Raw genomic sequence first — 27,786 nt, forward strand, 5'->3', positions numbered from 1 at the left:
GGGCTTTTTTTGATGGGAGTCATTCAAATGGGTATGAGGCAGTATCTCACTATAGTTTTCGGCAACATCTTTCATCCTATTGTTGGGGATAAATCAGTCAGTTTTCTTCATCAGCCAAGTATAGATATTTCATGAGCCATAAAGCTCGAAAATCCAGTTAGCTTCCTCCACTTCATTTCCACTCACCCACCATTTTCATTGAGATTATATTCTCTATTAGAAAAAGACACAGTTCGTTTGTCTTCACTTTTATTGAAATACAAAATGTTAAATATGCAAGCTGTACTAATGAAGGTGCTCCTTGAAGTTGATTAAGGAGGGCTGGGCTGCTTGTGGCTTCCTGCAGGGGAGAGAAAAAACAGAAGGTCAAGATGGTTACCCCTTGCTGCCTTCATCCCATCCCTCATCATGATTCTTCTTGCATCCTCTTCCATGTGCTCTTGCCACTTCCCTTGACTTCCATCTGTGACATCTTAGTCTATTCACCAAAATGTGATCTTTGTAAAACCTAATTTAAAGCATATTACTTCTTTTTTCTAAAGCACTAGAAAGGCTTCCTGTCTCGCTCAGATAATAATTTTTAAAGGTTTACCATGTGATAACATAGAACCACGCGATCTGGCTTCTCACTGCTTCTCCTAATTTGTCTCTGCCATTTTCTCCACTCACGTTCTCTTTTGGTCACACTGTCTCATTGCAGTTCTTTAAACATGTTTAGTGCATTGCTATCCCAGGGCATTTGCACTGGCTGTATTCTGTGCTGGAACACTTTTCCTGCATAAGAACCACATTATTCACTCCCCAACTCTGTCCATTCTTTGTTCTGATTTCATTATTTCAAGAAAAGCTTTTGAGTGAAATATCTATAGGAGTACAGCATCCATCATTCTGTGTTTTCCTTTGTCTTCCTTTATTTTTCCTTTTATCTTTTTTTGCTCTCCGGCCTGTGATATATTTACCACTTTATGTCTTCAGAGTCTGTTTCTACTCACTAGAATATAAGCTTTCAGAGTGTAAGAAATCTATTTACGTTGTTAATTGGCATATTCCAAGCATCTAGAACAAAACCTGGTGCACAGTTAGTGTTGGCAAATATTAGTCAACAAACAATTCAATGTCCAAATGCAGCCCCACTGGATGGATTAGGCACTGAAAGCTGTTATGCTGAAATGATGCAATATTGTGACTGAAGTGTCAGAAACCAAGAGTAAAAATTATGTGGTAAATGTTGGAAGTATTGAGAACAACTTTATACATTTCACTATAAAATATAATTTTAAGTATGTATCTTAGAGGGAGATTGATAATAGTCTTATAGTCTAGTGTTAAATAAAGCTATTATGAGTGAAGAAAGTCATCATTTAGTCCAGACTCAATGTACCCATTCTATAATATTTTGGTCAAAATAATAACAAAAGTTACATGGGAGCTTGAAGGAACTTCTGGACTGTGATTGAAGATTCAAAAGCCAACCCTGAGTGATTGGTGATCTGCATTGTGAGAACAGTCTGAGAACCAGAGCCTGGATCAACACAAACTCTACAGTGTAGGATGTATTCTGTACCATCTGGTAATGGTATCTGGATGTCAGTAATGTGGTATTTGCTGTGACATCCTCACTCAGAGGATCAAAATGCTGCTTTCTCCAGAGTTAGCTCCTTTGTTTACTCTGTTTTGTTTAGGGTTTGATGCAATGTTTGGCTACTTAGTGTCTCTCTCTCTCTCTCTCTCTCTCTGTGTGTGTGTGTGTGTGTGTGTGTGTAAGAAAGGGGAATAAAAGAGAAAGACTATGAGAGATAAATGAATATAAATAGTAATGGAAGCATGAGCATGTTTCTATTTTAATAATTACTATCCTTGGTTTTTCATCATCACATTCTGCTGCGGTTTTCCTTACCTCCTTGATTGATTGATTGATTGCCTGATTAATTGTAGAGTTGGAGGAATCCAAATACATGTAAGTCGGAAAGAAGTAGCAGATAATCACCAGACTATATCAACAAAAACACCAATTTGACCATCCAAGTACTCAGCTGTCATTTGTCATTGAACTTAACCACCAATATCACTCTCTTATTTATTTCACATACCACCAACAACTCTCAATACTTAACCATTTTCAATTGCCAGGAAAGAGGTAGAAATATCTTGTCATGGACAGTCGTTCTATGGTGGGCATTTGAGCTTTGGCCCTTGGAGTTTCAAATGATTGCTGTACCTGAAAAAGAAAATAGGCTGTAGATGAGATACGACTCTTTTCAAGTCTCAGAAAGCATCTTTCACCATGTACCAGACAACACCTGGAATGAAGTGAGCTTGCAGGTTTCATAGAACCAAGCCCATGGGCATTCTAACTCCTCAACATTGTACCCTACCTCTTAGAATTGCCACTCCATGTCAGACTGTATGCTTTACATCAAAATAAACACCTCATGTCTAATCCAAGGTCTTTCAACATTCATTTCCTCTATTTTCCATTTCTGACCTACAGATCTGACAATAAGTTATCCCTTGAAAACTATTCATGAAAACCAGATAAGGAAGGACTCTGTACTTTCAACACTCACCAAGGCTGATTCCTCAATTGAAGGAGAATTTAATCCCAGTATCTTATCTTTCTTTTTTTTTTTTTTTTTTAAGATGGAGTCTTGCACTGTTGCCTAGGCTGGAGTGCAATGGTGCAACCTCGGCTCACTGCAACCTCCGCCTCCAGAGTTCAAGCAATTCTCCTGCCTCAGCCTCCCAAGTAGCTGAGGTTACAGGTGCCCACCACCACGCCTAGCTAATTGGTTTTTTGTATTTTTAGTAGAGACGTGGTTTCACTATGTTGTCCAGGCTGGTCTCAAACTCCTGACCTCATGATCCTCCTGCCTCTGCCTCCCAAAGTGCTGGGATTACAGGCGTGAGCCACCGTGCCCAGCCCCAGTATCTTATCTTTAAGACCCAAACACTGAACAACTTTCATATCTCCACCACCAAGCTGATCTTGTAGTTTTTTTGCATCAACTAATTGGTAAGTCTACTTATCCTAAATCCAGAATTTTTAGTTCCTTTTTCTATGAACATCCTTGAAAGTACAATGTCTAACTCCCACTTATCCAAGAAGATTTAAAAGATTTAACTTCCCAGATCTCTATTCACAGGAGCTCTGTCTCAATTTATGCTGCATTTCCTCCTCCTTCTCCTCCTCCTTCTTCTTATTTCACTACTTTTCTTTCTTTTTCTTTTTTTAAGACAGGGTCTTACTCTGTCATCCAGGCTAGAGGGTAGTGGTGAAATCTCAGCTCATTGCAACCTCCGCTTCCTGAGCTCAAGCGATTCTCCCATCTCAGCTCTCAGGTAGCTCGGATTACAGGTTCCAGTCAATATGCCCGGCTAATTTTTGTATTTTTTGTAGAGATGGGTTTTGCCATGTTGCCCAGGTTGGCCTCAAATTCCTGGGTTCAAGCCACTCCACCCTCCTTCGGACTCCCAGAGTGCTGGGATTACAGGAATGAGTGACTGTGCTGGTTCTGGATGGCTTTCTTCTATAAACGCCAGAGGTGTATCTTTCTTTTCCCGCAGGAGTTTTACTGTTCTCTACAATTTTTACTTTATTAATAATTATACTATTCTGTGTTAATACCAATCCCATTTTCTCTTTAAACAAGAGGGTGCATTTATCTGTGTATTTATGCATGTATTTATTCAATAATTATTAATTGAATATCTGCTACGTGCCAGGTTTGTTGAATTGCTGAGCAAATCCCTGCCATCACGAAGTTTGCATGTTAGTGAGTAAATACAAGTAAAAAACCAGACACATAAATAAACTATTAATATTTGCTGAGTGGGTAGATGTACGAGCTATGGAGAAAAATAACATAGGAAGTAGTGGGAATAAGGAATGTCCCAAGTTGGGCAAGAAGTAGCAAACCTTTCCTTCTGCACTTTTTTATTGAAAGAATGACTTCTTTTTTGTTCCCTCTCACATGTCTTTATGGATCCTATCACAATCTGTAAGCACATATTTGTTTGTTAACCCACATTTTCAGTATCCATATCTCCCACGAAAATGTGAGTCCTAGATAGGATTACGTCATGTAGGCCTCATTTACCCCTCTGTCACCAGGAGGAAATCCATGACCTAGCAGACCACCCAGATTTTATTCATTTAATAAATTAAGAAATAAAAATTATTTCAAAATATTTTTCCTTCTCTAAAACTTAAGAACTTACGCTCCATAACATAAAGCTTATGGTTGATATTATTTTATTTTACTTTGATCTTCTGCTGGGATATATTGGAATTGTCTTTTCCTTAGCCATATTTTAAACAACTGAATGACAGAAACTGGGTACCTCTCTACTTTCACTTCCCTGACAAAAATTGTCATTGTGAAGTAAAAAGTGAATCATGACAAATTCTTCCTGAAGAAATAAATGAGTAACTAGAAAAGAGACACTTACCTTCCGAAATACTTCCTCTAGGTGGCAGCACCAAGAATATTTCTGGAAGCATGTGATGAGTTGTGTGATGAAGATAGAGCCCATTGTGCTGTCTCTCCAGGACACGTTGTCTATAATGATACAGATGGGTATGCCTTGGGCTATGACTTTCACTATGTTTTTGTTCATATTTTTGTTTTGAGAATGTTTTTAAAAAGAAAAGCATAGCTTGGGAATTATCTTTACAGATTTGTAGGAAGCACTTACAACCTGACATTTACCTACTTTCCACAGAACGTAAACAGAAAACCTAGCAAAAGGTGATCAAAAGTTGCAGTTGGTAAGCATTGCAAGAGATTGTGTATTGAAGAAATTTTGATTCTTGGGATTGGCTTTCTACTACAAAACTCATGTTCATTCTCTCAGCTTTTATAGGGGCTTGAGAAATAACTAGAATTATCCCACTTTACAGAGGAAGAAATAGAAGCACAGAAAGATGAAGGAACTTCCCCATGTTCACACAGTGAGTAAGCAACAAAAAATTGCCACCAGGCTCCAAAGTTGTTTGCAGATTATGCCACACTGTCTTTCACCGTATAATAGAAATAGATGAACACATGACAAGTTTCAGTGATAGAAGCTGAAAAAAGTGATAAAAATCTATTGTACAGGGTGGTGCCAGTAGTAACCAACATTGTGTTATGTACTTGAAATTTGTTAAGAGAGTAGATTTTATGCTAAGTATACTTCTCACACGCAGTCACGGAATGATGATAATAATAAACAGAGAAGTGTAAGAATCTTTTGGAGAAGAGAGATATGTTTATGGCATAGATAGTGGTGATGATTTCAGGAGTACATAGAAATCTCCAAACTCATTAAGTTGTATACATTAAATATGTAACATTATGTATGTCAATCATACCTCAATAAAGTGGTTTTAAAAAATAAGATTTAAAAATATACAAATCAAAAACAGTTAAATGTACGCTCCTTAAGATAATTACCTAGACATGAAATACTAACCAGTGTTCCCTGAGATTAGACCTAATCAGCCCCACCCTATCATTTTCTACTTGTTTTAAAGGGTATCCACAGTTCTAGCAGGGCATGCAATGGCACTGCTCATTGTAGAATCAGATGTGAAATATGGAAAGAAGACTTGAAGTTGATCATTTGAGAAAGAGAAGCCATTCCTGGAATCCATAAAAACACTATGTAAAATGTTAAATGGGCTTAATAAAAAAAACAGAATTCATCATCTGTTTAAATGGTGAGTGGTGAATGGGTTTCCATGTATCGGGTTGCTTTAGGAATCTGTTCTCACGGCACACATAAGATCATGTAAAATATGTGGAGAGCACACAACATTCTATCAGATCATTGTTTCATAGGGATTCTTGATTTTCTAGATTCATTCAAAGATGGCCTCAGGCCCACAAATCCCTTACTGCCACTGAAAGATACATACGTGGCGTTGAAGAGCAGAAAGCAATGAAGTCCTTCTCCACGTGGGTCTTGTAAACAGCATCTTCCTCTAGGTTCTCAGATGACTGTGAAGAGGCCACTTCCAAGGATGCTGGAGAGTCTCTGACCCACAGTTCCCCACGGTTTGCTATGGAGACATTAACTTTCTGCACACTGCTGTGCCTCCCACAGAATGGCTGTCACAGTTGCCCACCTTGTTCTTTTTGAATGTTCATTCTTACTAGTTTCATACATACAGACCCACACACATACAAACACACACAGAGAGAGACACACACACACACACACCACTTTTCTTTCTCTCCAGTGTCATTCAACAATGTGCCTACTGATAGTGAAATCATCTTGAATTTACCATTTTCTAGAAAAAAAATCTGTTTTCTTTTGAAAAATAGCTCCCAAGAGCTATCAGACAATTGGTCTCAAATTCCTGGCCTCAAGCCATCCTCCTGTCTTGGCCTCCCAAAGTGTTGGGATTATAGGCATGAGCCACCATCCTCAGCCAGCCATGAGGCAATTGAATCTTTGGAGCAAAGTGGCACTGCAACATTCTACAGTCCCCTGATCTCTTTACTAATTTCCCCCTCAATAATTATAAGAAAAAGGGATGCTGTTTTACATAATGGCCCCAGTTTCAAATGAAATTCTTCTCAAACCACACAATGTCAAAATTTCTGTAAAACATTTACAAATCAAGCTATCATGAAAATGATTCCATTCCAAAGTTTGAGTATTTCTGTTTAACTTTGATTTAGGGATTCTGATGATCTCCTTCACCACTTACTGTGGATAAAATTGAACAGAAATTTCTCCACTAATTTTGATGAGACAATTTCTTGTTATACCAGACCCTTAGGTAGAGTTTCTTTAGAATTCAATGTACTTTATTTACACTGGATGAGGTTTAAGAATGTTGCCCCTAAATATAAACCAAACATCACAATCCTCTGCATACACCTTCATAACTGTTAGATGTTCAGTCTCAGCACTCACCACCTCTGCAGGCCTGGACAATGATGACCTTGGGTTTGTCCTTCAGACTGAGGCAGTTGCGGTTGTTGAATATCTGGAAGATGGTGTCATAAAGCAGCACATCTGGTTTTTTCTCATCATGCACAGTTCCGCAGATTCCCTCCAGGATGCCATGAGACATGAGTACCAAGAATGTGCTGTCAGAGGACTTGTGCTCTGGTCTGGTAGCAAATGCCCTCAGCGCTGACTCCATATCCTGTAAAAGAGCAATGTCTAACTTCAGTCAGAGAAGCATCACAATTAAAGGGGACTCCTAGATTTACCATGAGCGAAACAAGAAACATATGTAACATCCAGGTCGTGGTGCTTCACTTAGTGCTTACTCAGTCATGACAGCTGTTTAATGGTTTTATTTTTCCTTCTTTATGGGGCCGTGGATTCCCATTTTCTCTTCCTGCTGACATACTGTCTTCTTAGTATATTGTATATTGCTATGTGTTACTCATGTTACTTTTTCTTTTCCATCTCAATCTTCTATCTCCTTACCTAGCAAGTCATGTGTTATAAATGCAACACACCATGTTCTTTGTAAAATCCATCCCACTATGCTTAGAATAGAATCAAACTTCTGGCCTGACCATACACCACCCTCATACTATGTTCCTTCTCCTTCAACCTCTAGTCACACTGGTCTTCTCTTTGTGCTTCTCGTGTGCCAGGTTCATTTTCAGCTCAGCTCTTTCACAGGTGGCGTCTCCTACTTTGAAGGCGCTGCATTCATGTCTTTCCAGAGCCATCTCCAACCAACCCAAAAACGTTGCTCCCCACCCTACAATTCTGTCTCATATTTCCTTTTTATTTTCTTTTTACTTACTTTTGGCTGTCTTGTCGCTGTTTTGTAGACACACATATGCACACCTGGTGCTTGAAGTTGTCTTTTTTCTTACAATTTCACTGTTTCTCTCTACTGTAACCTAGATGAATGCTGGCTGGGAACTTCCTGTCTCATTTACAGACCTATTCCCAACGTTAGGAATAGCTCTTAGCACCAAGTTTAGGATTCAATATTTGTTTTATAAGTATACTGCCATTTAACATTCATTACTCTACAATTTTCTGGGGATTTTCGGGGCTGCATCCCAATCACATGATTTTGGAATTCAATAAGAAATGTGAAAACACGTGTCAATCATGTTTAGTCTAGTTTTCCAGAATTGAGGATATTTGGAGGACCAAAGAGACATAGATTTACCAGTCTAGTACTCTTATTTTGTATACACACACACACACACACACACACACCCAAAGGTTGTTAAACCTTGTTGAGCTCTTTGAAGCTAGGTAGTTATTAGAAGGATGTGTCTTGAATATGTATGTGTTTGTGGCGGCTGAGGGATTCTTACCCTGGCTGTCAGATTCTCTTCTACATCTACACTATAGTCCAGACCCTCAAGTAGCTCCTTCATCCCTGTGATGTCAAAGTCAGCTCCATTCCTCGGAGGCAGATGGTCAAACTCTGTATTGCATATGATGAGAGCCAGGCGTGTGCGGTTGTTTCTCTCCTTTATTGGATAGATCTGCAGGATATGGAGATGCAATAAATTTAATTTACTCAAGTCTCCTTTCAGCCTCCTTATGCCTATCAGTGTTGCTTTTTCAAGTCTTCATGCAGCTCCTCTCTGCTCTAACTTGTATCAAAAGACACTGACTTTCTCTCTCTCAAGAACCCAGGGAAAGAACCGGACATATCTGAAATTGTTATTAAGAATCTTGAGGAAACTAGATAATTCCTATGCCTTTTCTTCTCCCTTTTCTTCTTCACCTACTCCAATCTTTCTTAGCATTCAAAGTTCAGGTCAAATTTCATACAAAACGAGATGTTGTCGTTGACTCCAGTGAAAAATGAATACAGCAAAAGTCTTTGCCTTCGGAAGCATAGCTATTTTGTTACTATTTTTAACACATAAATTTATAATGTTTTTCAAGCTTTAATTATATTTCCCAAGTATCCTTCATGTCTAGACTTTTCAAGTAGAGTGCAACCAATTACAAGTCAGCTATATTATCCTCCAAATATGTTTATTCCATGGCTAATGCTACAATTGCCATAAAATCCAAATAATTACAAGAATAAATACAGGAGCAATAGAAATACCAATTTTCTTTCAACTCATGATAAAATGATCTGCATCATGGATTGAGAAAGGATTGGTATCATTGTGAAGTCACATAATCTTTCCCTTAGTAAAAGCATTATTGAAAATGGTTACTGTCATCCCCACCCCCAATCATTTAGTGCTGTAAGAAATGGTGCACTGAAGGAAAGCAATGATATCTCTTCTTTTTTTTCTATTTCATATAGATAGCATAGCACCTCTTCAGCTCTTTCTTTACATAGTCTCAGGAATTCTTCATGAGGACAAAGCTTGAGGGCATCTGTAGATTCTCCTGACTCAGGTGGTCCAGCCTCCATATTCGGATGAGCTGCAGGATATTGCAGAACATAAATTGTGATTTCTGCCTCTGTGACCCAATTTATCACCTAAGAAGATCGAGAGAGAAGACGTCCTGGGAAGATTTCTTCACATATAGGGGTTTTAGTTGTATCTCATATCTAGTATTCTACATCAGGAGATGTATTGTTACTGGAAAAGATAGAAAAGCAGATCCACCCAAACATGTAATCATATATTCTGATCATTCTGGGGAAAACATGTCAATGATGTTGGGGTTAAATTTGGCCTTTCCTTATACCGTCAAAAGAATTTGATTTTTCCAAAGGTTTTACTCCAGGATACTCATTTATCTGTGTGGACTTTCTATTGTGTCTGTGCAAGAGTATACTGAGTAAATAGTTGTCAGAACACTATCTACTACAAATTTAATGTGTGTTCCATGTCCAATATTTAATTTCTACTATCACATGTAAAAAGTAAAATTAAACAGGTAAAATTAATTCTAATAACATTTATTTAACATAACATACAAAAAGTATTATTTTAACATGTATTTTTAGCCACAAGCCAAATGCTTAATAGTTATCCCATACAGGATGGAACAAAATCCTATTTTGGAGTAATCGTCCCCTCCTAATCCCCACTACACATACAGATAAATACATACATACACCAAAGCACAGAATATTGAATCTTGTACTTTCAAGGCATTATTTTTTTAGCAACTTTACTGTTAATTTTTAATGATTCTAGAAGAAATGAACTTCAATTATCCCTGTGCAAATTGTAAAGCCAGCTATTTGTAAAGCCAGCCAGTCTGAGCTCTGGAGATGTAACAAGTTGTAAGAGTGTGTATGAATATCAAACCTTCTGAGCATCTCTTTTCATAGATTACACAGTGATATATGACCTTCGGTCCTATTTCAGAAAATTCTGCCAATGTGAAGACATGCTGGATCCTGGATATTCCCTGGTCAGAGGGTATGTTTTCTAATCCAAAGTTTCCTGTTTCCACTTCACTTACAGGTTTAGAGAACTTCATAACTTAGTCATCTCCTAATGATCATTATGTGTGTGTGTGAGATACAGTGTTTTCAGGTAAAATTAGAAATTAGATAGAATTTCTATCTTACATCCAATAATAAAATTAGCATGAAAGCAAATCATTTCATTAGAAGATAGTACATATTATACTGCAGACTGCTGCCCAAAGAGAGCTGGATACACTCTAGGTACACTGGCAGTGTACCTAAAGTTTCCTGGGATTGCTCTGGAGACTCCAACTGCAGATAGAGCCCAGGGAGACACTAGACCCCTCCTGTGAGGGGTTGCCGCTGCCTTATTCCTGCCACAGCCTCTGCTAATCAGATAGATTACTTCAGTTTAGACTTGAATGCTCATTGTGATATCTGGGTTTGCTAAAACCATTCTGAAGCCTCTATTACTTCTATTCTAATTCCCATTAGTTGCACTATCACTGACTTTTTGAAAATGGAGATTGTTTCCATGCCATCCAGGTTTGAGAAAAAACTAAAAACCTGCAAAGGGACCAGTTTAAATATTAATGAGAATGCTACCTTCTTATAATCTTGGACAACTATCATACTATCATGTGCTCCCTGTTGGTAGGAACACCCCTTCTTCATAGAGGAGTGCTGATTGAAAAAGCTCATTTGATATAGTGAGGTCTCAACAATTTATATTTCCTTTTGTTTATCACTATTTATCATTATTGGTAATCTGTAATACTTCATGGCTCAAGATTTCAGCTTAAATTCTGGGGGGTATTGAGTCTGTCTCTGGTGAACTTCAATATGAGAATATTTAACCTTTAATAATACGTAATTCAATCTGGGTCAAAAGTTCCAAAAAGAAGTTTTAAAATTTTAGACATTTTATGGAGATTCTCCTTATCATATTTTGTAATTCGCAGAAGTAAGTAAGCACTGGAAAAGTCTAGTTCATAGCATCCACATAATAATTATGAAAACTAGTATTTATTGAATGCATATACTTTATTTATTTACTCATCCTACATTATTTAGGCATCTGCTATGTGCCAAGAAAACTACTGATTACTGTTATTAATTGGTGAAGAAACCAGTTGCATTCTGGTGGGAGAAACTTGGTAGATGTTGTTTCGGTCTACTGAGATGAAAAGGGAATAAAAATGCAACAGTTTTGTTCTGGGGAACAAAGTGTATATTTTAGCTGTATTTGTATTGTGATGCCAGCAAAACACTCAAGTAGACCTGTTGAATATGTTGCTAGAGCTAAATGATCCTGGAGTTCAGAGGAGAGAGTTCCGGATGAGAGCTAATATCTTGAGAGTTGTTGGCGTGTGGTGCCTGTCATTATAATGTTTCTAGGCTTAGACGATCTTGTGAGAAAGTACTGGAATTGTCTTCATTTCACAGATGGTAAGACTAATAACTAAGGATCTAGGGAAGTTAAGCAACTTACAGGATGTCACATAGGTCACAGGTGACAGAATCTAGGTTTAGTTCTATGTGTCCCTTACTACAAGGTGTGAACTATTAACTATTTTTGTACACAGTCTGAACACAAGGACTCAGCCTTTTAGCTGATTGTAAACTGGATTCCACCCCACAAAAGGGAAGTGGTCTCTAAAAGGACAAAGATAGGTTTAGTGAAAATGATAGTTTAGGAAGGGAAAGATAGGGGAATCACAGAAGACACTGCTTAGGCCTTGGAGTTAAACAGATTTAGGGAAAATTGAGACATTCATTGTAAAAAATCCAGTCTTACCTTTTTTATTGGGGGATATTTGGTCTATGTTAAAAAAGGTTTGAAGAAGCATTTGTCCTGCCATACGTTGCTTCTCTTGCATAGAGTCTGCCATGACCCGAACTTTGTCTTCAGTTTTAGCATCGTAATATTTCTTTTTTTCCTCTTCCTTCCAGTTCAGTACATTTTGTTCCACCAAGTTATCCAAAACACCAGTGAGGAAATCTTTGCCCAGGGATTCCAACACCTTAAGTGGCTTTTTTCTGTGGTTGCCTTCTGTTAGAAATAGAAAGATTCCTTTAACTATGGGCACAGCTTAAAGAGTTTCACCCTCACTTTAGATATAGTTCTATAATGTGAAATACTTCTGAAAGTATGTCCTACTTCACCATCTGTCTTCTTGTACCTATAGAGTTCTGTCATTCATCATATTCCTACCAGGTTGTTTAACAATTTATTGCCACTAAATACTTTTTATTTTCTTTTTTGTTCTTTTTTCTTTTCTTTTCTTTTAGCTTCTCAACTTCCTTCTGTGGCATTGGACCTAATGCAAACTTCCTGGTCATCCACTGTATTCATTTTTCTCTTTTACTGGTTCACGGCCCATAGTGATAATGATCTGCCTAAAATATATATTCCCGGGAAAGTCAATGCTCTTGTCTAGAATATAAATTCTTCCTACTAGATTTTTACTTCCTATATGATTTTTACTCTTTTCTGTATTTAGTTTTCTTGGTGAAAGAACTATATCTTTGAATTTGCATTTTTTTAACTTACATCCTATACCCACATCTTTGTATTCAAAATGTTTAAAAGTACTTAATATGCTTGCTAAATACATAAATTAAAGAATAAATGGATGAGTGCATCCATATTTATAATTCTTTCAAATCTTGTTCTCAATGAAAATTTAAAATTGAAAGTAACCTGATTCCTAATCTTCCAGTGTGGTGGATTAGTTTAATTTGACACCATGTTAATGTATTACTCCTTAGAGTAATTTGAATATTTATAAGGAAATATAGATACCAAAGTAATACATCCTTTGTTTCAATACAACAGATATGATTTCGGCAGATTGTACACAGAAATGCTGGATATCTTATCAATTCTCAATCAATGCTACAAAGATAATTATACAATCCATGTAGATGTAAGGATAGTGCTGACAGAAAATGACATCTAAAGAAATCATGTCAGGACATTGCACAAAAGCTTTGGCACAGAAGCACCAGCCTCATTGTCTGGGTTATCTTGAATTAATATTTTCATACGTGCTTATTGGGCAGCTATTATGAGAAAAACATTAGACATTACAAACCAGGAAAAAAGTTACATAATATAAATTAACTTAGTAAAGGGTAATATCTCCCATGTACTTATTATAAATAAAAAATGAATGCATATAAAACAATTTAAATCATTATTATAATCATCATTATCATTTACATATCACTGTACCAAAGGTTTTACAAATGTTAATATACTGGACCCTCACAATAAGCCAGTGGGGTAGTTATTATATTCCCTATTTTATATTCACCATTTAAATAATAACTTATGTCACATCACATGAATTAGGATTCAAATCTTGTTTTTTTCACCATAGTCTATATAGTTAATCATGATATGGTTCAGTTAAAATAGTTAATATTCATTGAGCCCTCATCATGCCAAGTGCATTACTGAAATTTCACAAAAATTCCATATAAAACATATATTAACCTCTCTTATATGGAAAATGGAAGATAATAAGTAATTGACTCAAATAATGTAAAAGAACACCGAGTATATAGTAACTGGGAACAAGAATTGAAATCTAGGGGTTCAGAATCCAGAGCCCCCATTCTTAATTCATCAAACTACATTACCTGACAGTTGGTGAAGAGCTTCTTAAAAGAATGTAGACAAGATATTTAAGGGGCTCAGAAAACATTAGTGCATTCCAACAGGTGAGATCACAAAGGCTTCTGAGAAGAGGTAGCAAAAATGTTAGTCTTGCAACATCAGGTACAGATGTTGCAACACAGTGTGATTTGCAAACAGTACACAGATTAGTGTGTGGGATATCCAAACTACCTGAGTTCTGGGCTTCTGTTTTATTTATTTGTGTGCTCAGTAAACTAATATAGTGTTGACTGAATAAATGATATGTGAAGAAATATAATAAGCAATAAAATTGAAGAGTTTTTAACAAAAAAAGTCACATATGACAAACACACAGCTAACATCATACTCAATGGTGAAAAGTTGAAAACCCTTTCTCTAAGATCAGGAAGAAGACAAAGATATTCACATTTACCACTTCCATTCAACGTAGTTCTGACCAGAGCAATTCGCCAACAAAAAGAAATAAAAGGCATCAAAATTGGAAAGGAAGAAGTTTAATTGTGCCTGTTTAAAGATGAAATGGTCTTATATACGGAAAACCCTAAAGGATCCACCAAAAATCTTTTAGAACAAATAAACAGATTCAAGAAAATTGCAGGATAAAAAAAATCAACATACAAAAATCTGTAGTGTTTCTGTATAACAATAAACCATCTTTAAAAAATAAATAAATTTCCATTTAAAATTGCTGCAAAAATACTTAGAAATCAATTTAACCGAGTAGGTAAAAAACAAGTACACGTAAAAGTATAAAACTTCAACCCGATCAACATGGTGAGACTATGTCTCTACAAGAAATTTAAAAAGTTGGCTGGCCATAGTAGCATGTGTCTATAGTCCTTGCTTCTTGGAAGTCTGAGGTAGGAGGATTGCTTAAGCCCAGGAATTTGAGATTATAGTGAGCTATAATTGTGACACTATACTCCAGTCTTGGCTACAGAATGAGATCCTGTCTCAAAAATAACAGCAATAATAACAAATCTCAAAACTATAAAATATTGATAGGGAAAACTGAAGAAGACAAAAATAAGTAGAAATGTATTTTGAGTTGATGGACTGGAAAATTACTATTATTAAAATGTCCCTAATACCCAAAGAAATCTAAAGATACAATGCAATTCCTATCAAAATTCTAATGGCAGCTTTTACAAAAATAGAAACAAATCCTAAAATTTATATGGAATCACACACAAAAAAACAAACCCTGAATAGGCAAAGCAATTTTGAGTAAAGGGAACAAAGCTGCAGGCATCGCACTATCTGAGTTCAAAATAGACTACAAAGTACTACAGTCATCAAAATAGCACAATAGTTGCATAAAAATAGAAACAGAGAGCAAATGAACAGGACAGAAAACCCAGAAATAAACCCAATTATTTACATTAATTTGACTTTTCAACAAAGGTTTCATGAACACACAACTGGGAAAGAACAAATTCTTCAATAAATGATATTGGGAAAATTGTAAAACCACATGCAGAAGAATAAAAATCTCTAAACATATACAAAAATAAACTCAAAATGAGTTAAATATGTAAATGTAAGAACCAAAACTGTGAAACTACTAGAAGAAAACAGAGGGGAACAGCTTCATAACATTGGTCTAGACAGTGATTTTTGGATATGACAGAAAAGGACAGGAAACAAAAGCTAAAATATGCAAATGAAATTACATCAAACTAAAAAGCTTTTACACAGTCAAAGAAACAATCAAAAGATTAAAGAGATAATCAACAGTATGGTAGAGAAGATTTGCAAACCATACATCTGATAAAGAATTAATATGCAAAATACAAAGAACACAAACAATTCAATAGAAAGAAAATAAACTGATTTAGAAATAAGCAAAGGACCAGAATAAACACTTTTCAAAAGAAGACATACAGAGAATATGTATATGAAAAATGATCAACCTCTCTAGCCACCAGGGAAATTGAAGTCACAATGAAATATCACTTTGCACCTGTTGGAATGGCTATTACCAAAAAGACAAAAGATAACAAATGGTGGAGAGGATGTAGAAAAAAAGAAACTCTTGTACACTGTTGGTAAAACGTAAATTAGGCCCTGCGCAGTGGCTCACGACTGTAATCCCAGCACTTTGTGAGGTTAAGGCGGGCAGATCACCTGAGGTCAGTAGTTCTAGACCAGGCTGGACAACATGGTAAAACCCTGCTTCTAGTAAAAATACAAAAATTAGCCGAGCGTGGTGGTGGGCGCCTGTAATCTTAGCTACTCATGAGGCAGAGGCAGTAGAATTGCTGGAACCCTAGAGGCGGAGGTTGCAGTGAGCCTAGATTCCATGACTGCCCTCCAGCCTAGGCAACAGAGTGAGACTCTGTCTCAAAAAAAAAAAAAAAAAAAAAAAAAAAGAGTAAATTAGCATGGTCTTTATGGAAACCTATATGGAGACACCTCTGAAAGTTAAAAATAGAGCTAAAGATATGATCAAGCAATCCCACTATTAAGTATATATCAAAAATTGGAAAATCAGTGTCTCGAGGAGATATCTGAACTTCTATTTCCATTGCAGCATTATTCACAATAGCCAAGATATAAAATCAACCTAAATGTCTGTGGACAGATTAATAGATGAAGAAAATGTGGATTATATACAAAATGCAACACTATTCAGCTTTTAAATGGAAGTAAATCCTATCGTTTCTGACAATATTGATGAACATGAAGAACATTATATTAAGTAAAATAAGCCAGGCCAGGCACCAAAACACAAAATATCACATTATCTCACTTATACATAGACTCTAAACAGGTTAAACTCATAAAAGCAGAAGGTTGTACATAGAAAATATGTACAATGTTTATTTGTCAAATAAATAAATAAGTAAATTAAAAGTATGGCCTGAGGTATAATCTACACATTCTGATGGCATCCATTATATGCTTAAAAGAATAAATAAATCATTCTCAAATTTATGGATTCAGCCCAGATGTGGATGTCGGTATTGAAACCTATACATTCAATAGACAATGAGATATCTCAACTACATCTCACAACCTCATTTAACTCAACTTACAAAGATGAACTGTTCATTTTTTCATTTCCATCCTTCATTCTCTTTTCCATATACTAGTAAATAATACCTATACTCCAAGTACAAAAGAGCAGCAATACCTGGTGATATTCAACCTCTTTGGCCTTCTCTATGTCTTATTTCCCTTCTTAATTCACATTGCATCGATTTTATTTGCTAAACATTTTCAGAATCTGACCACTTCTCTCAATTCTAATTGTTCATTACTTCTATTCGGGCCAACATCCTTTCTTTCTTAAGAAATAAATTCATAAGAACTTTATCAATCTACTCTCCGTCCCTCTATTCTACTCTTTGCAACGAAGAGTGTTCCAATATCTAGATTTGACCATGAAAACTTTCAGCCTATTCTAATCTAGGCCTTCTCATTCACTCATTTTCTGATACTGTTCCCACCTTGCTCATTACATTCAAAACGTTCTGCCTTCATTTAATTTCTGGAAAGATTCTATTTAGGGGTCTCTGTATTTCCAGCCCCTACCTTCTCATTCATTCTTGTTTTCCTACTGCTGTCTGTCTAACCTTCAAGTCTCAGATTAGATGGCACCTTTCTCAGGGAATCAAGTCTCTACTTAGGGATCTGTATAGTTTCAGCACCCCCGCTTCTAATTTCTTCTGGTTTTTGAACTGTTCTCTGTCTATCTGTCTATCTGTCTATCCTTCAAGTATCAGATTAGATGGTATTTTCTTAAGGGAATCCTCTCTGATTCTTCCAGAGGAGACAGCATCAGAGATATATGCTCCTAGGGCACCTTGTATCTCCTTAGAGTAGCATTTTTTTTCCATTTATTTATTTATGTATTTATATATTTTTGTGAGACAGAGTCTCACTCTGTCACCCAGGCTGAAGTGCAGTGGTGCTATCTTGGCTCACTGCAATCTCTGCCTCCCGGATTCAAGCGATTCTCCTGCCTCAGCCTTCTGAGTAGCTAGGACTACAGGTGCACACAACCACGCCTGGCTAATTTTTGTATTTTTAGTAGAGATGGGGATTCACCATGTTGGCCAGGCTGATCTCGAACTCCTGACCTCAGGTGATCCACCCATCTTGGTCTCCCAAATTGCTGCTATTGGATTACAGGCCTGAGCCACCACATCCAGCCTTTTTTTTTATTTTTCCATTTAATTGTGATTCCCAGCCTACTTATCTCTATCCACTGTTAGAATTTATGCTCTGTGAGGACAGGGGCCATGAACTACATCTGCACTATTTTTGGCATTCTTTTTACTAGTTATTTACTGAATATTTACTAATTATTTACTGAATCAGTAGTCAAGTCCATGTAGGAACAAATGAATAAAACTTATGTGTGGCTCAACTCTTAAGGAATATGAAACCACCTTTGCAAAATTATAACTGAGGAAATTACAACAATGAACGAAATCAGACTGGGAAAGCCTTTGTGGCTACCTGCTTGTGGTTTGGTGCCCCCGCTCCAGCGATGGATCCAGAAGGTAGCCCAAGTAGCCGCCTAGTTCTCTTGGACTGGGGGCTGGCTCTGGTACTCTCTCCACTGGCAGGCACTGCCAACCCAATGTGCATGCATTTAATTGCAACGGAGAAATAATCCTGGAGAGATGTCCTCTAACTGTGGCCCTATCACAGGGTTTCCGTCTGTAGCTGCATTGAAGGGTGTCTGGATTGGTGAGTATCCTAGGTGCTGCCAATGCCTCCTTCCTTCTCCTGACTGGTTCTGTGGCCCCATAGTGGGGTGTCTGTCTGTAGCCCCATTGCAGGGTGTTAGGATTGGTGAATCTACTAGGCACTGCTAATGCCTCCTTCCTTCTCTCGACTTGTCTGTAGCTCTATGATGGGGTGTCTGTAGCCCCATTGCAGGGTGTCTGTAGCCCCATTGCAGGGTGTCTGTTTGTAGCTCCACCACGGGGTATCTGTTCGGCTCCACTGGGGTCTTGGTTGGCTCTAACTAGTAGGAAGAGTCTTGGTTCACGAGACTTGTCCTCAATCAGGACAATTTTGAGATTTCTCAGACAGAGAATAGGAGGATAGTTTGGAAGGGATACTCTTGGAGTTCCTGTTTAGGGATCATCTGATTTGGAAGGCCTTCTGTCTGTCTCATCTTCGTGTGTGTTTGTATATGTGGAGGGAATCTCAGAAGGAATTGCTGAAGGAAGTCCAGCAGGCCTAACTCAGAGGACTCTTCTTATTTGGTTACATTCGATGAGCCCTGGAGAAAGTTCAATAGGCCTGTCTCATGGTGACTATCTGCTCTTTGCCTTACCCAGAGACCCCATTGTGAATTACTGTTCTGAGGTCGTCCCTCCCCACCTGGAGTGGATCAAAGACAACAGGGACGAACAGAAAAAAGTCTGAGCTTTGCCAGGTTGATATTGGGTGCTGAACGAGGTGACTAGTGTCTGTTTTGTTATGTGAATTCTGCTGGGATAGAAAATGTTAAATGGTTCCCCATGCAGCTGGTTGGGCAGCATCTTGCATTTTAAGAATCTTGCCTATGTTTCCATAAAACAGAAAATGGTGACTTTTTTCTTGTAAAGTGGCTTGAACCCCACAACTATGGTGAGGTGAGCAGGCTGATCAGAAGCCGTTCCGTTCTTCTGGAAGTTACAGAGAAAAGGCACCCAGAAATCTGGTATGCCAGCAAAAAGTGTAAGAAATTCTTACCAGCTAGGTTTCTGGTCTCTCTCTCTTTCTCCATCTGTGTAAACAGTAAACATCACTATATGTTTCTCTGTAAAGTTTTGATTAATAGAAAAAAGAATTTACAAGACTAGTCTTAGCCTATAGCAAATCTGGTGTATTTTTGCTAAGAATTTGTCTTTCAGTGTTCTGTAATGGAAAGAGGGGTATCACAAGATAGAACATGGGTTTAGGACCCCTATAAGCCTGCTTTTCAAGCCAGCTCAGCAGGCTGGCCAATTATAATGGGTCCCTGAAACCAATACTGTATGAAATTTCTCTGTCTTGTTTGGCCTCCTTAAGAGCTTAATCTTGTGACCATATGTGGATACTTCCTTTTGGTTTATACCATCCAGCCCTAAAAATTTTTCTTGAGCAGTTAAAAGCCTTGGCAAGGTTAAAAGTGGCTTCTCTAGTCTCCTTCTTGGAATAGCAATAGAAACTGCTCAATGCTGTAATTCAGTAGCTAAGACTTTGCCTTTTGACATAGAGGCTCAGGCTCTATTCTTGGCTTCTGGAACAATTTCCTTCTGGTTTGCTATTTGCATAACTTTGCCATTTAATGAGGTTCCCCCACAACCCCATGGATAGCTTCTGATTTCCTCTCTTGAATTTTCCTTTCTCTGGACTACCTTGGGGAAATTCTAAATCTTGTAAAAAGAAACTGCTTACCACACCTTTGAAGCACCTGGGAAGTTACTTTTGATAAAGTTCAAAAGCCAGAAATGTTGGCCGCATGGCTAAAGTTGGGTAATACGAAATTTAAAAGGATTTTGTTAAGAGCACTAAGGTTAAAAGTCAGCTTAATTAAAAGTGAATAAACAAGTTATGGATACATTTAAAAGACCTTTATGTTTTTCTCTTCTTGGATCTCGTTTTTCTGTAAAAGAGGGTTTTTTCTTCTTAGTAAACTGAATTATTTTTCTCCATTTTTTGTCTTGCCACTCTTAATGCACACATAAGAGGCACTAAGATAACTTTTGGTAGCCTGAGACTCCTTGAGAAAAACAGAGGAAGCACCACAGACCCCATTTTGGGAAAAACAAACAACAAGAAACAAACAAAAAACCCTCTGTTTTCTTCATGACAACCAAGGAATTAAAAGTAGATGGATCACTCTCAAAATCAAAGGCTCTGTTCTGTTTTGCATTGTGTTATCTGACAGTTTGAATTTTGGGGATATCAGAAATTACTTTGCATTATGAGATAGCTTTGGTATGTAATAACTAGGTAGGAAATATACTTTAAGGGATGGCTAATAGTATTTTCAGAGGGAAACTTGGCTCTTCGCACACTTGGGTCAGAGAAGCATGCTCTGGGCCACCTGGAAGATACGGAAACATCCCCATGCCTGACTGAGAGATGAGACTTCCATGGGGGATGGGCTGATTTCAAAATGGGTTGATTGGCTTTAGGTTGCCTTGCAATAAAATGCAGGTTAGAAGCACTGCACTCTCTTCTCCAGTAGTATTTCCTTCCTTTTGGGGATCTGGGATCCAGTATAAAATGGCATCCTTCATTTTGGAGATCTGTCTTTGCCTTCAGCTGTGCCTGCTTATTTAGCTTGGAAAAAAAATGCATGCTTTCCTGGCCCTGTTCCTCCAAGGGCTCCACTCTGAAGCCAGTAGTCCAGTTAACAACTGGCAAATAAAAAATCTTACAAGTGCTGAATTTTCTGTCTGTCTGTGTATTTATATAAACTTCTATAATTCTGATAAAATTTACTGTACATTATTAGTAATTATAATTGTTATACAAAATTGTTGGATGCCACAGAAGTAAGCAAAATTCCTAGTCAATTATAGCTTTAATAGTGTCTATAGACTTTTGTCATCCACAGACATTTTGTCTTGCTTTGGTCGTTTTCAAAAGGCAGTTTATAATCAGGTATAGGACTCTGAGTGCAGGTCTCAGATAACTTTAAAAATTGTGCTATTGGAATAGAGGAAAAAAACAAAACTTCCAGGACTCTCATGAAGAGCTGATGTCTTAAATGTCACCAATCCTTCAGTTTTCACAGTCAAGATAACTTATTTCTTTAGAGATATTTGCAACTTTTAACAAGTAGGTAAAATACACTCCTGTGAAAAAATTTTGAAGCATATTTGTTTCTCTCTACCTGATTTCTCCAGAATTTGGAAACTCTTTGTAAGTATTCTCAATTTATGGCAGCATGGTTAATTCCATAAGCACAATAAAAATCTGTTTTCTTTTGTAACATGACACAATTGGAGAAATTGGTTATTTTACCAAGGCTTTGACTGGAATGGCACTCTTCCCTTAAAGAATCGAAGTTGACTTACAGAGCCAATAAAAGCCCCTTGGGGAATCTGGCTTCATACCTTGTCTACACAGAGTCCTTGTACAAGGTTCTTGATCTGTAGTAAGTAAAGAATATCACTTTCTAACAGGTTCATGAGCTCCAAGTTATCTTGGGACCTTGAGAGGAGAGGAATTTACCCAACTCATAGGTATTTAAGGGTACAAATGCATGGCTGGGATTGGCTCTTAAAAAGTCTTATCTGAGATTCCTCATGGAACAGAGTTCCATCAAAGCCAATTTAAACAAAAAACAGCCTAAATAAAAAATAATTATTCTTGTTGCACTTCATGCAAATAATCAGGCCAAGTACAGTAAGACTAAAGCTTATTTTGGTAAACAGATTAGTTCTATTATAATTTACTTTTAATAAAAATAGGGTCTGGAGAGAAAAATTATGCTTCAAAAGAAAACATATAATATACCCATTGTTAGTTTTGTTTGAGTTTTTTCCTACAGTTTGGACTAAATCCTAAATTCTTTGTGGATTAGAAGTCCCCAAATTAATGCTTTCCAATCTTTGCTTTTAAAATTGAGAATTGTACTCCTCATCCTAGGATTTGTTATTTACCTTACAGGAGGCTGTTGGCTTAAATATTATAGCAAAACTACAGAGGAGAGTACTAATGTTTTTGCATTGCAAGCATTGGAAGCCCAGCCAGTCCTGCATGAGTATGCTCAGACAGTTGCAAAGTGGTTACATTCTTCTCACCTTGGGGTTCACTCTAATTTCCACTATGTCTCCTGTCAGCAGGAAGAAGCCAGAGTGATCGACAGCCTTTTCCCATCTTCATAGCCTACACCTTAAGATTAAGCTATTAGAAAACCCAAACAGAGGGATTGAAACTGCCTTTGCAATATTATAACTGAGGTAATTACGACAGTGAAAGAAATAAGACCTAACCAACTCTATCTTGCTTCTATCCCTTAAGCTGTTCTTATTCATTCCTGGGCATAGGCCGAACTGACTTTGGGAAGGAATTCAGTTCATGGTTTGACTGAAACAAAACCGGTAACAGCCTTTTCTCGAAAAGACCCTCTTCTTGCCTGGGGTCCAGTCTCCCTTTGCAGGACTAACAAATTAGCTACAAGACTAAAAATTACAATGTAAGGGACATGCAGCCTCTGGCTCCTAGAATTGGAATGTCCCCATTGTGCTCCCAGGGATAATATCACTTTATAAAATCTAATATCAGCACTTAAGATATTTTTCAGACGCTGCACTCAATGGATCAGCTGACACCACCCAAACCAGTAATCTAACCCAACCAGTTCTGCCATCACACCCAGGAAGAGAACACAGCAAGAAAACCTCACTTTGACACCCTATGATTCCATCTCCCACCTGAGTAATCAGCACTTCCTACTTCCCAAGCCCCTAGCTGCCAAATTATCTTTAAACGTTCTTATTTCTGAATGCTCGGGGAGACTGATTTAAGTAATAATAACACTACCCTCTCCAGAACAGCCGGATCTGCGTGAATTACTCTTACGCCATTGCAATTCCCCTGTCTTGATAAATTGGCTCTGTCTAAGCAGTGGGCAAGGTGAACCCACCTGGTGATTACAAATTCTTAATAGCAAACCAGGTAAGTTTGATTTCATTTAATAGATGATAGTTGCATGTTGGATATTTCAACAGAAGGAAGGCATGTTCATTCCCCTATCCATTCAGGTATATTTAATGAGCATAAATTCTTGAAACTTACTCTGCTGTTATTGGGGGTACCACTTTGGCAGCATGTCTGTACACTTTGAAGTTTGCAGTCAAGTGGAAAAATACATATGCAAATAAGTAAAATGAAAAATATTATAAGAATGTAAATAATTAGCAGAAGCTCAAGAAAAGCATAAGCAAAGTGTGTCTCAGGTACAGCTGTCCAGAGAAGGGAGGGCTTGGCACTGAGACCTGAAGGACTGGTAGGAATTTGTCCCCTGGAAAACTAGGAGCTGGTCTTTTGGCAGAGAGCAGTAAGGAAAAAAGCACAAAGGCTTGAGGGTGTCTCGTGTAACCAGAAAACTGGGAGAGCTGGGCTTTAGAAGGAATAGAAATGTGAGGCCAGGACTGAAGTGGCAGTGATCAGAGACAGGGCAAGTATTTGAAGATGTTTGCAGAAAGTTAGATTAATGGCAGAGTTTGAGAGTCATGCCAACCTGAGACCACTCCTCTCAACAGACTTTTGACCTAAAGCATATTTTGGAGGCATTCTCTAAGTATCCCCTTCAACTACAATATGGAAATAATAGCACAACTGTATTGATTGATGTTAAATATTAAATCAGAGAGAGTGCATGAATTAGCTATCATATGGTAAGTATTTTTTAAAGAAATGGTTACTATAGATTATTTTTTGTTATTATAATAATCACTGAATGAAAGCTGCAGTGATAATAAAAATGGCAGGAATCAATTAGAGGAAAAAACTTATCAGGACCACAGTTTTGGTTCCAGGCAAAGTGATGTAATGCTTAAACACATTACAGGATACAATTCCTCAAGAGTTTAAGGTAATAATAGCTGTCTACATTTGGTTGTTTATAATTATCAAACCACGACTTGTTTTTGACTAGTGGCTTTCAATTTACCCTATCTTTATCTAATGATCCCTTGATTCCAGAGCTTAAGTTAAATGTTGTGAAGTTAGACATAAACCCCGGAGAGAATTGTTCTATAGGGAGAATCAAAGGAGTAAAGAAACAACAACAAGGTAATATGAGTGAAGTAAATACAGTATTTTTTTATGAAGTTGAAATCATGCTTTACAAAGATTAATGGAAAAACTGGATACACATGTTTCAAAAGGTAGAAAAAATTGTCTGAAAGTTCAGATAGTAAAAAAGAGAAAAGGCAATAGGGAGCCACTGTATGTCCCTGAGCAAAGTTAATTACATTAATAGATCACTAGCAGATAAGCAGAGAGTGTTAACTAACTGGTCAACTTTCCTAATAGAACAAACCTATGTCAAGTCAGTTTCATAAGAATTATGTGACGATCTTCAAAGGTAATAAATGCCTGCAGGGTATTTAAGATTGAGCTATTCGCGGTGAGGAAGGGGGTAGTCATCTGACTTTTTTTATATGACTACAGATTGCTGCGATATGTTATAAGGTTTAGAATTCACTGATCTAGTCCAATTTCTTCCTTTTCCTGTGAGGAGAATGAAGCCAAAGAAGCGTTATGACCTGCTGGAATACTAGCTGCCTAAGTAACTCTATCCCTTAGGCTTTTTCAGCTTCTGTGTATAAGACAGGTGACCTAAAAGTTGTGTGCAGAATGGATTGGAGAGTTAAGTCCTGGAGGGAAGGATACCAGTTAAAAACAATAACAACGGCAAAACAAAACAACTGTGATATTAACCCATGAAATATTATATTAAAGTAGTCAGTATCAGGACCAACGAGAAAGAGGAAAAAATTGAATCACTTTAAACAGACCAAGAATGTAATTCACAATAAGAGATGTCGAAGAAGATAACAATTCAGAGGCTCTCAGATCTGATTCTGCGAAAAAGGTTTGTGATCTGGGCAATTAATTTGGAATCAAAAGAAAGATTTCAGAGTGCATTTCGAAACTTCTAGAATTGTCTCACACAAATAACTTCCTCTGGCTTTCTTTACCCTCCCTTTGATTACCAGAAGCTGAAAGAAAGGAATTAACTTCTTTCTGGCTCAAAGACATCTGGAAAACATATGACCTCCGTCAATATCTCTAACACCAGGTCCCATGATTCAAACTACACACAATCAGTAAGAAAAGGAATTCAACATGTGTGCTATCGGCTCACTTCCTTTCTTGTGTTTATTTCAGAGCAATAAATCAAGTGTTTTCTAAGTTCCTACTCCCAAACTCCTAGTCAGAAAAGGACTCACCTGCCATAGGGAACAGCCTCTGTCCTTTTTTACAGCGTTGGAAAGAGCCTCAGAGTCAAAAATGAAAGTAAACTATGTATTTCCTTATTGCAAAGGGCGGAAACGTGTAATTACAGATTGTGAAACTGCTGCTCAGAATTCCAGACTCATTATCAGGAAGTGCCTTGTCATCAGCAAATTGGCATCCAATTACTGGAATTTAGTTTCTGACTTGGGGGAAAAAAATGAAAATGACAAAATATTATCCTGTGGGTTGACACCTCAGCTTGTTTCTTTTCTTGTTTCCTGTGGCCACCCAAACTTCTTCTATCCATCTGTCTCTTCTCTTCCTGATCTCTCAGTTTTTCTTTCTCTGATTACAAAGAACGACAATGACTGAAGAAGTTTAATCTAACAACTCTTTTTCATTTCCTGATAAGAATTAACCCAATAGTTCATATTTCCAGCTTTTTGGGCAGGCACTGAGCTGCAGGAGTTTTTACATAGTCCAGCAGCTCCCGGAACTCTAGTGAGGCAGGAGTCCCGTCCACTCCCATGGAAAGGGGGCTGAAGCCAGGGAGCAAAATGGCCTTGCAGCAGGTCCATTCTCACAGAAGCCTGCAAGCTTAGATCCGCTGGATTAGAATCCCCACTAGCCAGCATAGCAGCCTGGAGTACGCCAGAGATGACCGAGTTCCCCAGGGGAGGGGCGACTGCCATTACTGCAGCTCTAGTCAGCGGTTTTTCCCTACCAGTGCTAGGGAGGCTGGGCAGATTGGACTGGGCAGCAGTCTTCACAGTGCAGCACAGCCGCTGTGGCAGATCATGGCCAGACTGCTTCTTTAGGTGGGACCGGGATCCATCCCTCCTCTCCCGGCAAGAAATGCTTGCAGGAATTTCAGCAACTCCACCTAGAGTTTACAGACAGAGCTCTCATTTCCCTGGTACAGAGCACCTGCGGAGAGGGGCAGCTGCGGTCTCAGGTTCAGCCAACTTAATCTTTCCTGCCTGCTGGCTCTGAAGAGTATCAGCGATCCAGACAAGGGGGATTCCCCCAGCCCAGTGCACCATCTCTGCTAAGGGATAGCCAGACTCTTTCCTTAAGTGAGTTCCTGATCCTGGGCCTCCTGACTGGGTTAGACCATTCAACAGGGGTTGCCAGACACCTCATACAGGAGAGTTCCAACAGGCGTCAGGTCAGTGATCCTCTGGGAAGAAGCTTCCGGAGGAAGGAGGAGGCAGCACTCTTTGCTGTTCTGCAGCCTCCATTGGTGATACATAGGTGAACAGTGTCTGGAGTAGATCCTCAGCACACTGCAGCAGACCTGCAGAGGAAGGGCCTGAATGTTGGAAGAAAAACAAAAAAAAATAAAACAACAATAACACAGCATCAACAAAAAAGACCCTACAAAAATCCCATCCAAAGGTCAACAGCTTTAAAGATTAAAGGTAGATAAATCCACAAAGATGACGAAAAACCAACGCAAAACCGCTGAAAATTCCAAAAGCTGGAATGCCTTTTCTCCTCAAATGATTTCAACACTTCTCCAGCAAGGGCACAAAACAGGGCTGAAGCTGAGATGGATGAACTGACAGAAGTAGGTATCAGAAAGTGTGTAATGACAAACTTTGCTGAGCTAAAGGATTATATTCTAACCCAAGGCAAAGAAGCTAAGAACCGTGATAAAAGATTACAGGAACTGTTAATTAGAATAACCAGTTTAGAGAGGAATACAAATGACATGATGGAGCTGAGAAACACAGCGTGAGAGCTTCATGATTCAAACACAAGTATCAATAGCCAAATCAACCAGGCAGAAGAAAGAGTATCAGAGCTTGAAGACTATCTTGCTAAAATAAGGCAGGTAGAAAAGATTACAGAAAAAAATAAAAAGCAATGAACAATACCTTCCAGAACTATG

At 37.9% G+C, this 27,786-nt stretch overlaps 1 protein-coding gene and 1 long non-coding RNA gene across 4 annotated transcripts, besides 1 other annotated feature; one reads left to right on the forward strand and one right to left on the reverse strand.

The window, feature by feature from the left end:
• Positions 1-232: 232 nt before the first annotated feature.
• On the reverse strand, positions 233-25,941 carry CASP4 (caspase 4). Of its 3 annotated transcripts, NM_033306.3 has the most exons (10): positions 25,886-25,941; positions 13,964-14,062; positions 12,114-12,368; positions 9,263-9,372; positions 8,292-8,465; positions 6,910-7,144; positions 5,900-6,043; positions 4,450-4,559; positions 2,115-2,218; positions 233-340 (listed from the first exon to the last, which is right to left on the reverse strand). In NM_033306.3, exons 3-9 carry the CDS (start codon positions 12,205-12,207, stop codon positions 2,120-2,122), a joined length of 966 nt encoding a protein of 321 aa, NP_150649.1. In that variant the 5' UTR covers positions 12,208-12,368; positions 13,964-14,062; positions 25,886-25,941; the 3' UTR covers positions 233-340; positions 2,115-2,119. The 3 variants fall into 3 exon arrangements, with proteins under 3 accessions (NP_150649.1, NP_001216.1, XP_011541321.1); NM_001225.4 differs by lacking the exon at positions 13,964-14,062; XM_011543019.2 differs by lacking the exons at positions 13,964-14,062; positions 25,886-25,941 and having other exon boundaries at positions 9,263-9,430; positions 12,114-12,191.
• LOC124902813 (uncharacterized) lies at positions 17,810-25,947 on the forward strand. Its single transcript, XR_007062986.1, has 2 exons — positions 17,810-25,527; positions 25,652-25,947. It is a non-coding gene; the product is annotated as an uncharacterized LOC124902813 (long non-coding RNA).
• Positions 25,741-26,940: an enhancer, noted in NCBI's record as "MED14-independent group 3 enhancer chr11:104839101-104840300 (GRCh37/hg19 assembly coordinates)". NCBI's record gives its function as "activates an origin of replication core promoter dependent on BRD2, BRD4, P300/CBP and CDK7 cofactors, and independent of MED14, by STARR-seq in HCT116 cells {active_cell/tissue: HCT116}" and the evidence as "EXISTENCE:reporter gene assay evidence [ECO:0000049][PMID:35650434]".

The sequence above is a fragment of the Homo sapiens genome, chromosome 11, assembly GCF_000001405.40.
Source record: "Homo sapiens chromosome 11, GRCh38.p14 Primary Assembly".
Lineage (NCBI taxonomy): Eukaryota > Metazoa > Chordata > Mammalia > Primates > Hominidae > Homo > Homo sapiens.

Coding starts and splice junctions, on each gene's coding strand:
- CASP4 (NM_001225.4), bottom strand. Junction 9,373..12,113: donor AATATCCCCCAATAAAAAAG/GTAAGACTGGAT, acceptor AATATCCTGCAG/CTCATCCGAATATGGAGGCT. Junction 6,044..6,909: donor TGTCCAGGCCTGCAGAGGTG/GTGAGTGCTGAG, acceptor ATGTCTCCATAG/CAAACCGTGGGGAACTGTGG.